A 13,174-nucleotide genomic window follows, 5' to 3' on the forward strand; every position below is an offset into this window, starting at 1 on the left:
CAAAAAAGGCAACTCCACACTGCAAGGAAGCATCTGGAAAACAGTCTCTAACATCACTAAAATCCAGTAACAGCCTGTTTCACATTACTGTAGGCACAGTGCCAATGAACGGAGGAGTGCCTTTCATTAACCAGGAAAAGAAAAAGGGAGGGCTAGCAAGTTAACAAAAGGGGCACAGTGTGATGCTCCCAAAAACACTGCCAAGACCATGCTCAGCAGAACCACGAAATGGCTTCATCTGCCTCACCTCACAGAAGGAACGAGAATTACACCCAGACACCGGGGCCTCCACATACAACACGGCTCGTGTTTTTCTTCTTCCTGGCTGACCAACATTTTTCAACATGGTTTCTGAATTAACACTTTATATGTCTTCTGCTTTACACAAGTGGAAGAGTCAAGATATTCTCACCAAAATGAATAATGGAATTTAAATAATAAAACTGTAGCTTTCTGAGAAAAGCAGTTCTGTGGCCATTAAGCCACCAATCCGTGCTGGGCATGGTGGCTTGCGCTTGCTATCCCAGCACTTTGGGAGGCCAAGGTGGGAGCATCGCTTCAGGCCAGGTGAGATCAACCAGGCAACACAGTGAGACTCTGTCTCTACAAAAAAATTTTAAAAGTCAGCTGGGAGTGGTGGCGCATGACTGTAATCTTAGCTACTCGGGAGGCTAAGATGGGAGGATGGCTTGAGCCCAGGCATCGGAGGCTGCAGTGAACTATGACTGCACCACTGCACTCCAGCCTGGGCAACAGAGTAACACCTTGTCCCTGTCTCATGAAAAAGCCACCAGTTTGACATAAAAGGTCTGTAGAGTTACTTAGTTCTTTTAAGCATGGTTTAAAAAAGAACTGAAACAGAATCATCTACAGTAACTGCTGAGTGAATCTGAGGAAAATTACAAATGAAGAACTTGAATTAAAAATAAATATTGGCCGGGTGTGGTGGCTCACACCTGTAATCCAGAACTTTGGGAGGCCAAAGTAGGCAGATCATCTGAGGTCAGGAGTTCAAGACCAGCCTGGCCAACATGGTGAAACCCCATCCCTACTAAAAAATACAAAAATTAGCCAGGCATGTGATGCCTGTAGTCCCAGCTACTTGGGAGGCTGAGGCAGTAGAATTGCTTGAACCCCGGAGGCAGAGGTTGTAGTGAGCCAAAATCGTGACACTGTGCTCCAGCCTGGGCAACAGAACGAGACTCTGTCTCAAAACAACAACAACAACGAAAACCCATTAAAACATTAAAAATGATCTAGTGTGTGCCCTCAAAATGGAGATCAACTGCAATATTATATCACAAATAAAATATATGCAAATCAGTCATGTTGCCCCCATACAATACATGCTTGTCATATAGAGAGTTCTTCTCAACATTTTCAGTATGAAAATGACTTTATACTTATTTGGTAGAATCCATAACTTCACATTTTTAAGAGCATTCAACAGTGTTACAAAGAGTTGCTCTAATTATATCTAGTAGGGAGCTAAATGTGTATATTCCTCTAAGTCTTCTTCACTGGCTAAGGAACACACATAAAATATCTTCTGAATAACAGATTGTTGAGAGGCTCTAACTTGTGCCATTTCCGAGTTCTTTCTCCTCTGGGCCTTGCCTGCCTCTGCATTTCTTGCTCTGGTTTTTAGCCTGCTTGAATCTTTTTCATCTTTTCCCACAAACCTCTTTCTTCTGCCCTAACTCCGGGTAGGGAGTGGAAAAAGATTACCATTTTTCCTGCACTGATACATAGCAACCACTGGTAAGCAAAATTGACTGGGATTCTGCAAGTTCAGCAACACCGAATCTCCAAACACGAAACAAGCAGGAACTGCAGCGCCCATGGGCAGCACATTCCTCCTGCCCCAGCAGCTGTCAGCAGGCTGTCCCGACAGTCTCGGAGAAGGACAAAGCGGCAGCCAGCTCCCTGCCTGCTGCTGAAGATGCACCTTCTGGCAGGTGATCACACCCGTCCATCACTGCAGCAAATGCGTGATGGGTTTTTTTTTTTTTTGAACAACTGTGGAAATGTTTTGCAAAATCTGGAATACTAAGTCTGCAACACCCTGCAATGCCCTTGCCTTGTAATCTTAGAATAACGGCCTCTTTGATCCATATGTGGACTGGAGCTCTTGAGGGGAGTGCCTGAGCTGAGGCAGGGGTTCAGAACCTTGGTGCCAGCAATAAGAAAGGCACTAAATCATGGAGGCGATGTTGAAAAGAGAGAAAAATCGAGAGCACCATCGGGGCCCAGGCCAATGCTTAACCTACATTCCACAGAGAACAATGCAACACATACTTAGATGATTACTGAGACACAGTTGGGCAGTTAAGTTTACCAGAAAAGAGTTGAGATACAAACCTTATTGTTAACAATAGCTTCTGAGTCATCAAAGACAAAGTCTCCATCATAGCTGCGTGCAAAACACACAATGGCAACCGATCCCACTACTAACTTAGCCCAGAATGGAGGAAGAACAGAAGATGGAAGAATGTGATCCAAATCAGTGTCCAACACGGCCATTCTGAAAACTGCAGGTTGGTGGCTCCCGGCTCCAGCATTATGCTGGTTAGGAATCTGCAGGAAAAACAACACTGTATAAATATTCATCAACACTGGTAGGACCGTTTCTGCAGTGGGCACCGTGAGTAAGAGCTAGATAGTCATTTATGCTATGATTTTATAGGATGTGATCAGTAACAATTTGAAGCTGTGCTTCCCAAACTTTAGTGGGCAGAAAAGTCACATGGGACACATGCAGATTCCTGGGTCCGACCACAGGATCTATCAAATCAGATGCCCTTTGGTTTCTGATGCCAGAATATCGTTTAGAAATACGAATGTAATGGTATCCTCATCAACCCCACAAGGCAAATCATTTTTAATCGTCCTTGAACCAGTTTACAAAGCTTAAAAAAAAAGTTACCATCCTACCTCATCCAATCCAGAAAAATTAATAAATAGTCATTGTTGGGTTTTAGCACACTGTGTGTGTGGCAGGGGAGAGGGTCGTGTGTAAAACACAACCCTGCTTCTGAAAGAGCTTATGGTCTATTTGTAGCATTCAGGCACACAGGCCAGGGAGCTGAGACTCTGACACAGAGACAGGGGAGTCGAACAGAGAAATCCTAAGGCGGGGCACAGGATCGAATGCTGGGTTCCTAGGCTACTGGCTCAACACAGAGGACAGATAGAGGAAATGACTGGTGGGGACAATATCTTGTCCCAGAAAAGGCTGAGCCATACAAAGGAAAGGAAGGGAGGCTATTCTGTGTGAGGATATGACCTTCAATCCTGGTGAAAGAGTCAAGATAAAAATATATCCTATTTTGAACTTTTCTTTCAAATGGGCATAATGTTTCTCGCCGGGGATGCCTGTGCCTCATCCTTGCCATGTGTTAGTTGTGCGGTCCTGTGCACAACCCCTTTCCTCTCTGAGCCCACCCCCTGCGGCCCTCTGCAAAGCATCTTAACGCCCAGTGGTCAGCGGTGCCTAACAGCTTCCCGCCTTGGAATTCGCCAAAACAAATCTCAACCTACCCCCAAACTCGCACTTTTTTATCTGTCCCCATTCCCACCACATCCTGGACAGGTGCTTTCTTTGGATTTACCAGGATCAGGTTTGGGTAAGACTGCTCGGTTCTGACCTGGGGTACCTCTGGCAACTTACTTGACCTCTCTGGGCCTGTTTCCTCAACACTAAAATGGGGATGGTAAGAGTGCCTACCTTCTAGAGTTGTCATGAGGGTTAAATAGGATTCCCAGCACTGCCTGGCTGTAATGAAGGCTCAGGGGAGGCCGGCTACTATTACTAATACTTTCTTCCAGAAGGCTGAAAGCAGAGGCACAGAATGATTTTCTGTGGGAAATCCCTTTTAGTAGCTGGTTGATTGGTACCGAGGCTCCTGTCTTTACTAAGGGACCTGGACCCTGTTCTTTTCCTGCTGAGATGAAAGAGAATTCCAGCCCCCTGATTGGGAAGGCAGTTTGGATGTATTTGTTTCTGGATCTCTAAGTGGATACCCCAGATTATGGAATCAATAAGAAGCCAGCCAAATAGGCCACCTGAAGTCACAGGCATCTTTCTATAGCCTTCTGTCTGAGTGAAGATGGAGACAGATCCAACAGGCAACGGGACACACCATTCCATGGTGATGCTGTCCCCTTCCAGGGGCCAGAAGGAGGCTCAGATTTACAATCCAGAGATGAAACAGGCCGCAACTCTTCCACTGCTTGTCTCTCGAGCCTCACAGCCTGGCATACGGCATGCTCTCAGCAAGTGCTGGGGGAATACTGCAGCTACTTTTCTTTTCCAGTCAAAGGATAAACCACTTCTCGAATCTAAATTACAACTGCAAACACAACACAGGTTAGCACACAGACCCCAACCTCTATGCTTACATTTCAGCTAAAGAAATTACTCCTGCTACTTAAAAAACAACAAATCAAGGCTGGTTGCAATGGCTCACGCCTGTAATCCCAGCACTTTGGGAGGCCGAGGCCGGTGGATGGCTTGAGCCCAGAGGTTCGAGACCAGCCTGGGCAACAAGGTGAAACCCCGTGTCTACAAAAAAAAATACAAAAATTAGCTGAGTGTGGAGGCGTATGCCTGCAGTCCCAGCTACTCAGGAGACTGAGAGGTGCGAGTATTGCTTGAGCCCAGGAGTTCCAGGCTGCAGTGAGCTGAGATCACACCTCGGCTCTACAGCATGGGCAACAGAGTGAGACCCTGTCTCAAACAACAACAAAGCCCAACAAAGCCAAATACTGAATAGTTAGGAAGATACTATGATTTAACATGGGGAGAAATTTTAGAAAATTAAATGTGAAGGAAAACAAATAATTTATAGCAATTTTAAATGCACAATAGAGTCATGAGCTGACAAAAGGTCATGTAACCGGTTTTGACGTTATCTGTTTTATTGTTTCAATAGTGAATTTATTGGCTCATGCAATATATTTTTGGAGATGGCGTCTTGCTATGTTGCCCAGACTAGCTTCAACTTTTGGGCACAAGTAACCCTCCTGCCTCGGTCTCCCAAGTAGCTGGGACTATAGGAGTGTGCCACTGAGCCTGGATATTATCTGCTTCAGGCTCAAATATTTGAAAATTATTTCACAAACGTTTGTCAAGGTTCAAATGGCCTTCTAAGTAGAATACTAAATCAGGAAATACTTTGTGCTCCTAAATTAGCGACTGTACCTCAGATTGCTTAGAACATAAACGTGTTCTAAGCAATATGTTCTAAGCATAATCATGTTCCAAGCCACAGCCCCAGGATATATAAGGCAGACTGTGGACCACACCATCAACGAGATGCCCTGGTAGGAGGCCAGGTCCAGACTCTTGGGAAGTCAAGTGGATGGCTGACTCAGTGGATCTCAGATGATCTCCTCCTCTGCTCTTGCAGGGACAGCAGGAAACCTGGCCTACCTCCAACGCCCCTGCCCCTACATCATTTCCCAGTTCTGGCTGGCTCTCCCCTCCTTGCTGTGACTCCCCTGCTTCTCTATCTCAGGGGGCTCCTTCTCCTTTCTCCAAGGCCTCCCACTTCTTTGCTGCCACTGAAAATACTCACAAATGCTCTTTTCTTTGAAGGGATTTACTGTTAACGTACATAGTGGAACAGTTTGGAAAATGCCTTTCACTAGCAAACGCAAAAAAAAAAAAAAAAAAGCTACAATTTGTTAGAAAGCCAGGCAAAGTGATCAGTCTAGTCCAGTGGTTGAGACCAAAGGCTCTGGTGACGGACAAACCTGGACTTGCCGGCTGCACGACCTTGAACTGCTTAGTCTTTCTAAGAATCAATTTCCTCACTGGCACAACACAGTACCACCACCACTTTCTTCAGAAGGTGGTGGTAAGGATTAAAGGAGAAAATGTATGCAAACAACTAGTTCTCATTATTGTTAGATTTTGGAGAAATTAGCCGCTGCTTCCCAGTCCCTGACTGCCTGTCTCGGGCGCACCCATGTTGCCAGTGTTTATTCCTGCAGATGGGCTGAGCACTAGGGCCAGCAGTAGCCCATCGGGTGACCTGGTGCGACTGAGAAAGGCGGGCCCTTCTTTTGGGCAGACCCGGGGCACATGGCTTCCTTGGTCAGGTGTCTGGCACAAACTGTACAACCATGCACAGTGACCTTGTTCCCAACTCTCCTTCCTCCAACACTAAACGACTTCTGTTCCTCAATGACCTGAGCCAGGCCTGGCACTCAGTTAAAAGAAGCCCTGTCTGAGCAAGGTGGCAGAGACGGGGGACCACCCTCTCTACATCCCTTCCCCCCTTTTTTTGAACAGGGTTTCACTCTGCCACCCAGGCTGGAGTATAGTGGTATGATCATAGCTCACCACAGCTTCACCTTACTGGGCTCAAGGGACCCTTCCACCTCAGCCTCCCAAGTAGCTGGGACTATAGGCATATGCCACCATGCCTGGCTATTTTAAATATTTTTTTGTAGAGACAGGGTCTCACTATGTTGCCCAGGCTGGAATCAAACTCCTGGCTTCAAGCGATCCTCCTGCCTCAGCCTTCCAAAGCATGGGGATTACAGGTGTGAACCACCGTGCCCGGCCTCCACCATTTTTTACAGTCAGGACATGAAATAGGAAAGGATGCTCTGTTTTCTTCCAGATGGGCCCTAGGTTGAACTTTCTGGTCCCTCTTCTCCACATGATGTCCTGCCTGGGCTCCCTGGCTCCTCTGCCATAGCTGGATCGTTAGTTCACCTTATGAAGCAACAAAAAGAGAGACCCACTGTGGCCTCTGCTACAGGCCAAGCAGAGGGCACAACCCAGGAGGAATGAAGTCAGTGTTCTGCTCGCTACCTGACTCCTGCGACAGAATCAACTGGCCCCTCAACAGGGGCTGAATCTGGAACAAAGCAGACGTCCCTTTATCCTACAATTTCTCAAACTTCTCATATCGAGCCTCTGTTTTCAGGAGGTTAAAACAAATTAATCATCAGTGAGAAGGCCAAAAAGACCCCACACAGGGACCCCAGAAAAACAAATGTCATCCAGCTGTGAACCATGAGGGCCCAATGACAGCTGACACGGCAGCCTGGACTGCGGTAAACAGAATGGCGAGACCAAACCTAAATGTTTCCCCTTGGAAAAATTAGCAGCAGCCACCTACAGAAGAATATTCCCCTCCATGCATCCAGGGGCCTGCTGACCTCTGCCCAGCCTTTCTACCTCATCTGTAACATTCAATCACATAGCCAGCCATCCTATGCACGCTGAGAGGTGACAGCGCCTCTGGGAATCAGATTAGAGAACACAATCGTTTGTGACCCTGCATCCCTGGGCCTGGCAGTTTCCTGACTGATCAGACCCTGGGCCCCTCAAGGCAGGGGCGCGAGCCACCACCACCGCCCTCCTCCGTGCAGTGCTGAATACATGCTACTGAAGGCTAAGGTATCGTCCTGCTGTGACGGCCTTCCCATTTTATAATTCAGTAGCGCACGAGGGCCATGGCTGCCTATAGCAAGAATGTGTGTGGTTTGATATTCACAGTTCCACTGTCCCAGAAAGTTTCCAGTTTGCTAGCTTGTAGCCATTTCCCCTATCTAGGTGCACTGGCCGTGATTTTACCCCACTCCATCTGGGGCGCGCCCGGCGCAGACAGGACTGCAGAGAAAAGGGACAGGGAGGGGACCTAGTCAGTCCCTACTATAACTGTTTCTCAAGACATTCTCCCCATGCATTTATTTGCTCTCCCGGGGAAAGAGCGAAGTGTGGGATGACTCATAGTGGCTAGATCGTTCCTCTAACTCCTCCCTTCTTTTGTGTGTGGTTTAAAAAAAAGAAAAACACACACGCAGCCCATAGCCACAACATCAACAAGACCAGAAGCCCCGCAGAGTTCGCAGGAGGTGGGCAGTGGCTGCGCCACCTGCTCGGCTTCCCCAAACTCCGAGCCCACGCCGGGAAGCGGCGGCTCGGTGGCCCCGGGCGCCCGGGCCGGTGGCCCCGCGCTCGCGCCGCTCCGCTCCGCAGCCGAGCGTGGAGTAGCAGGCGCTCGCGGCGCGGCGGGGGAGCCGCCGCGGAACCCAGGGCAGGCGGCCAAGCGGCCCGGCTGTGTCCAGCCATCGCCTGCGCCGCGGCCAGCTGGCGGCCAGGCGCGGGGCCCCGCGGCCAGATGGCCGCTCCGGGGACGCGCCGCAGGCGCCGGGTGCGCCCGGGCCGAGGGAGCGCCGGCGCGGCTGTGCAGGCAGGGGCTGGGGGCGGCGACCTCTGCCCGGGCGGAGAAGCTCAGGGGCCCGAGCGCGGCGGGCGGGGCGCGCAGCCTCCACGCCGCGCCCTTTGTCCCATGTGCGGCTCACACAGGGGCCCGCGTCCCCCGTGACCCCGGCCCGGGCCGCAGCTCAGGTCCCGGAACCAACTCCTCCAGCAGCGCCGCTCTGGCCCGGGCCGCCGTGCGGGGCTCGGGACACGGCGGCAGCGGGGAACCCGCGCCCGCTCCGCGTCCAACTCCGCTCGCCCCGCGGCGCGCTCGGCCCTGCAGGGGCCGCCCCGCGCGTTACCTGCAAGGAGCCTGAGCCCCGGCCGCATCTCCCTCCCGGGTGCGGAAACTCTGGCGGCTCCAGGCACCCGCCCGGACCTGGCAGGGGGAGGGGCCGCCCGCCGCGCACCCGACCCCCCCCGCGCCGCGCCTCCCGCAGCTCCCCACGCGCGCGGGCGCCCCCCAGCACCAGTCTCGGCCCGCCCCCTCCGCCCGACCATTGGCTGCTGCTCCCGTCACTTTCAGGCCACAGCCAAGTCCCTCCTCAGCTCATTGGCGGACGCGCCGGTGACGTCAGGCCAGGGGGCGCTAGTCGGCGGCGAAGGAGGCGCAGGGACAGACGGACCCGGCGGGAGAGGAGGAAGCCGGGTTGTGGGCGCGGAGCTGAGGCGGAGGCGGGGCCGGGGCGGGAAGGGGCGGCCCCAGCTGGGTCGGGCGAGGCTGGCTGCGGGAAACCGAGTGAGCCCTCGCTTTTCCTCCGGGGTCCGCGCGCGGGACCCTATTTCTGGCCTGTCTCGCGCTTCGCCTGCGCGGTGGTCTCCACGCTGGGACTGCGGCGTCCTCGCAGAACAGCCAGAACTCCACTTCTTCCTGTCCGGGAGGAGTTGTTTAAAACATGCGTATCTCCACCTTCTGCTTCTTAGAACAGAACTGACTGAAGCCGTGTTCTTCCCGCCGAGACCATGCCGCCCCATCGACCCTGCTGCGGCCAGAGCCACCCAGGGCGGGCCCACTCACCGCAGGCTCGGGCCACTTGGTTCCAAACCTCCACTCCCATCCAGGGGCCCGGCACACCCACCACACTCCCACTCTCAGAGGTCTTTGCCGCCTGCTTCAGGAGAAAAGAGAAACTTCCACTTTCCACCGGCAAAACTGCACACCTGCTCCCTCCATCACCGAGCCCCCCCCCCCACCTTCTGTTTTTCCAGTATCGCAGAATCCGATCCGTTGCTCCCTCTGGACTGGAATCCGTATCCTCGGCATTTCATCATTCCAAGATTCTCTACTCCACGTACCCTTGCTGCCACCCTCTTCTACTTTCCATCGCTGAAGTTGGTGAAAGAGGCGCCTGCCCCCAGTTTTGTGGTCTCTCAACTCCACGTGTTCGTTTTCACACTCGGTGAAATTGCCTTTTTAATTGTCGCAAGTAGCATCCACATCACTAAAGTCAAAGGACACTCTCCTTTCTCGTGTTAACTGATCTGAGCAAAATTCCTTCTTTCTCCTTAAAACACGTCTTCCTGTGGCGGGGGTGCTCCACTTTCCTGTCTGTCCCCAGTCTTGGCGTGCTTGTCTACTCTGGGTGACCACCAAATAACAGAGTTTTCAAGGTCTCAGACCTTTCCTCTTACTCCACAATTTTTCCCTGAATGATTTAACCTGCTGTCAACATTTAAATCAATATATCCCAAATTTGCAACTCTAATCTTTGCTCCTCTGAGCTCCAAATCCGTTTATCTAGCTTCCTATTCAGCTACTCCTGGTAACAAGCACCTCAAATGGAACCCATCCAAAACTGAATGCGTCCTTTCCCTGCTTGCTTTCAACTCCCTGTCTCCCTGTGATAGTGAAGACACCACTATCCAGTGTTTCCCAAACTCTGCCTTCACCTCGGCATCTAACAAATCGCCAAGATTCTACTTCCTAAATAACTCTGAAGTCTGTCCACTTCCTACCATTTCCAGTATTACGTATCATAATGTGCTTACTGCACGTGCGTTTTCCCGGCCCACACTCAGTGATGTCTCGTTGGTAGACTGTAATGGGCCATGGTCGAAGTATTTACACCATGGAAATTAGCCAACATTATGAATCATGAATCAGGGATCGATTTGTTTTGCTGATTGTCTCTAGACTTCAGAAAGTGATGGGGAAGATGTTAATAATGTAGATTAAACTTAAAAATGTGTTTAGTGCTGAAACAAGATTGCAGTTTAATGAGTTTATACAAGGGTAAGAAGTAGTTTAACAGATCACATATCAGATTTAAGGACAATAAATTTGTTGGCAAAAAGTGGATCGGTATGTAATTTCACTAGTCACATCATGGTTGAGTTACAAGCATTGGATGGATTCAGATACAAGCCTTTGGCAAAAAAGAAGCAAAGCTTTCTGTGAGAATCAGTCAAGTAGATAGAACTGACAATAAAGAGTGTCTGCCTTTTACTTGTGTATTGTTTATTACACATCCTTTATATCAGAAACATTTATAACACACATATGGTTGTATATATAGGTGGAAATAAAAAGCAGATGAGATTTTAGTCAGTTTTTTTTTTTATACTTTTAAGTTCTAGGGTACATGTGCAGAACGTGCAGGTTTGTTACATAGGTATGTATGTGCCATGTTGGTTTGCTGCACCCATCAAGTTGTCATTTACATTAGGTATTTCTCCTAATGCTATCCCTCCCCCAGCACCCCACCCCCTGACAGGCCCCGGTGTGGGTGCGTGAGGTTCCCCACCCTGTGTCCATGTGTTCTCATTGTTCAAGTCCCACCTATGAGTGAGAACATGTGGTGTTTGGTTTTCTGTCCTTGTGATGCTTTGCTCAGAATGATGGTTTGCAGCTTCATCCATGTCCCTGCAAAGGACATGAACTCATCCTTTTTTATGGCTGCATAGTATTCCATGATGTATATGTGCCACAGTTTATTAATCCAGTCTATCGCTGATGGACATTTGGGTTGGTTCCAAGTCTTTGCTATTTTAAATAGTGCTGCAATAAACATACGTGTGCATGTGCCTTTATAGTAGTGTGAGTTATAATCCTTTGGGTATATACCCAGTAATGGGATCGCTGGGTCAAATGGTATTTCTAGTTCTGGATGCTTAAGGAATAGCCACACTGTCTTCCACAATGGTTGAACTAGTTTACACTCCCACCAACAGTATAAAAGCGTTCCTGTTTCTCCACATCCTCTCCAGCATCTGTTGTTTCCTTAATTTTTAATGATAGCCATTCTAACTGGCATGAGATGGTATCTTATTGTGGTTTTGATTTGCATTTCTCTGATGGCCAGTGATGATGAGCATTTTTTCATGTGTCTGTTGGCTGCATAAATGTCTTCTTTTGAGAAGTGTCTGTTCATATCCTTTGCCCACTTTTGGATGGGGTTGTTTTTTTCTTGTAAATTAAGTTCTTCGAAGATTCTGGATATTAGCCCTTTGCCAGATGGGTAGATTGCAAACATTTTCTCCCATTCTGTAGGTTGCCTGTTCACTCTGATGATAGGTTCTTTTGCTGTGCAGAAACTCTTTAGTTTAATTAGATCCCATTTGTCAATTTTGGCTTTTGTTGCCATTGCTTTTGGTGTTTTAGACATGAAGTCCTTGCCCATGCCTATGTCCTGAATGGTATTGCCTAGGTTTTCTTCCAGGGTTTTTATGGTTTTAGGTCTAACATTTAAGTCTTTAATCCATCTTGAGTTACTTTTTGTATAAGGTGTAAGGAAGGGATCCAGTTTCAGCTTTCTACATATGGCTAGCCAGTTTTCCCAGCACCATTTATTAAATAGGGAATCCTTTCCACATTGCTTGTTTTTGTCAGGTTTATCAAAGAGATGGAGACTTGCTGTGTTGCCCAGGCTGGAGTGCAATGGTGCAATCTCAGCTCACTGCAACCTCCACCTCCCAGGTTCAAGTGATTCTCCTGCCTCAGCCTCCCGAGTAGCTGGGATTACAGGCACCCACCACCATGCCCAGCTAATTTTTGTATTTTTAGTAGAGACGGGGTTTCACCAGGTTGGCCAGGCTGGTCTCGAACTCCTGACCTCAGGTGATCCACCCGCCTCGACGTCGTAAAATGGTGGGATTACAGGTGCGAGCCACCACGCCTGGCCTAGTCAGTTTTATTATTGTCAACTCTCTATAGACAATGCACACCTTATTTCCTGCCTTCAGGGTGGCTTGCCCCCACACGGCCCCTCTTGGTGGGCTCCTGCTTCCCAGTACTCTTAGATTGAAGGCCTCAATCTTTCATGATCTGCAATGCCACAGCATGATCAGGCTGCTTGCCTGCTGCTCCTGAGTCATCTCATGCCTCTCTCTCCTGCATTCCCTAGGCCCCAGCCATGTTGGCCTTCTTGCATCCTCTGGTGTGTTCTGAGCTCATTTGCATCCTGGGCTGTGCAGGTGCACCTGCAGCGCTCCCTCCTATCCTCCTCCATCACACCTGGCTACCTCCAATTTAGAGGTCTCCAACTCTCCAGGGCCGCGGATGGGTACCTGTCTATGGCTTGTTAGGAACCCGGGCAGCACAGCAGGAAGTGAGCCTGCCAAGCGAGCAGTACCATCTGAGCTCCACCTCCTGTCAGATCAGCAACGGCATTAGATTTTCGTAGCAGTGGGAACCCTACTGTGAACTGTGCATGCGAGGGATCTAGGTTGCAAGCTCCTTATGAGAAAGAATCTAACTAATGCCTGATGATCTGAGGTGGAAGTTTCATCCCGAAACCATTGCCCCAACTCCATCCATGGAAAAATTGTCTTCCACGAAACTGGTCCCTGGTGCCAAAAAGGTTGGGGAGCAACCTTTTGCTGCCCTAATTAATTCTTCAGGTCACTACTCAAGTGTCATCTCCTCTGAAAACCCTTCCCTGAATTATCTCCCCAAACACATGTAGGTCCATCTGTATATACTCTCATAGCTTTTATTAAAACTGTAATTAA

The 13,174-nt window shown here is 49.4% G+C and overlaps 1 protein-coding gene across 12 annotated transcripts in view, besides 5 other annotated features; it reads right to left on the bottom strand.

The window, feature by feature from the left end:
* The window catches only part of TMTC4 (transmembrane O-mannosyltransferase targeting cadherins 4), a 71,451-nt gene extending 62,593 nt beyond the window's left edge, over positions 1-8,858 (bottom strand). For 5 of the 12 annotated variants that reach the window (NR_146794.2, NM_001286453.3, NM_001350577.2 and 2 more), the window contains exons 1-2: positions 8,527-8,578; positions 2,362-2,577 (exon numbers count right to left, since the gene is read on the bottom strand). Coding sequence is in view for 11 of the 12 variants with exons in the window: in NM_001286453.3 (NP_001273382.1) it covers positions 2,362-2,523 (162 nt within the window). In the remaining variant the exon portion in view is untranslated. Of the gene's footprint in view, positions 1-2,361; positions 2,578-4,065; positions 4,353-8,526; positions 8,579-8,722 lie in introns of those variants that run through there. The other 7 variants (NM_001350576.2, NM_032813.5, NM_001350571.2 and 4 more) reach the window with 4 other exon arrangements.
* Positions 6,954-7,843: an enhancer, noted in NCBI's record as "H3K27ac hESC enhancer chr13:101325425-101326314 (GRCh37/hg19 assembly coordinates)". NCBI's record gives its function as "activates a minimal SCP1, AML or CMV promoter by ChIP-STARR-seq in primed H9 embryonic stem cells {active_cell/tissue: H9 hESC(primed)}" and the evidence as "EXISTENCE:reporter gene assay evidence [ECO:0000049][PMID:30033119]".
* Positions 7,959-8,038: a silencer, noted in NCBI's record as "silent region_5478". NCBI's record gives its function as "represses an Ori minimal core promoter by ATAC-STARR-seq in GM12878 lymphoblastoid cells {active_cell/tissue: GM12878}" and the evidence as "EXISTENCE:reporter gene assay evidence [ECO:0000049][PMID:35858748]".
* Positions 8,089-8,448: a silencer, noted in NCBI's record as "silent region_5479". NCBI's record gives its function as "represses an Ori minimal core promoter by ATAC-STARR-seq in GM12878 lymphoblastoid cells {active_cell/tissue: GM12878}" and the evidence as "EXISTENCE:reporter gene assay evidence [ECO:0000049][PMID:35858748]".
* Positions 8,479-8,978: a silencer, noted in NCBI's record as "silent region_5480". NCBI's record gives its function as "represses an Ori minimal core promoter by ATAC-STARR-seq in GM12878 lymphoblastoid cells {active_cell/tissue: GM12878}" and the evidence as "EXISTENCE:reporter gene assay evidence [ECO:0000049][PMID:35858748]".
* Positions 9,169-9,248: an enhancer, noted in NCBI's record as "active region_7961". NCBI's record gives its function as "activates an Ori minimal core promoter by ATAC-STARR-seq in GM12878 lymphoblastoid cells {active_cell/tissue: GM12878}" and the evidence as "EXISTENCE:reporter gene assay evidence [ECO:0000049][PMID:35858748]".

The sequence above is a fragment of the Homo sapiens genome, chromosome 13 (assembly GCF_000001405.40).
Source record: "Homo sapiens chromosome 13, GRCh38.p14 Primary Assembly".
Taxonomy (NCBI): domain Eukaryota; kingdom Metazoa; phylum Chordata; class Mammalia; order Primates; family Hominidae; genus Homo; species Homo sapiens.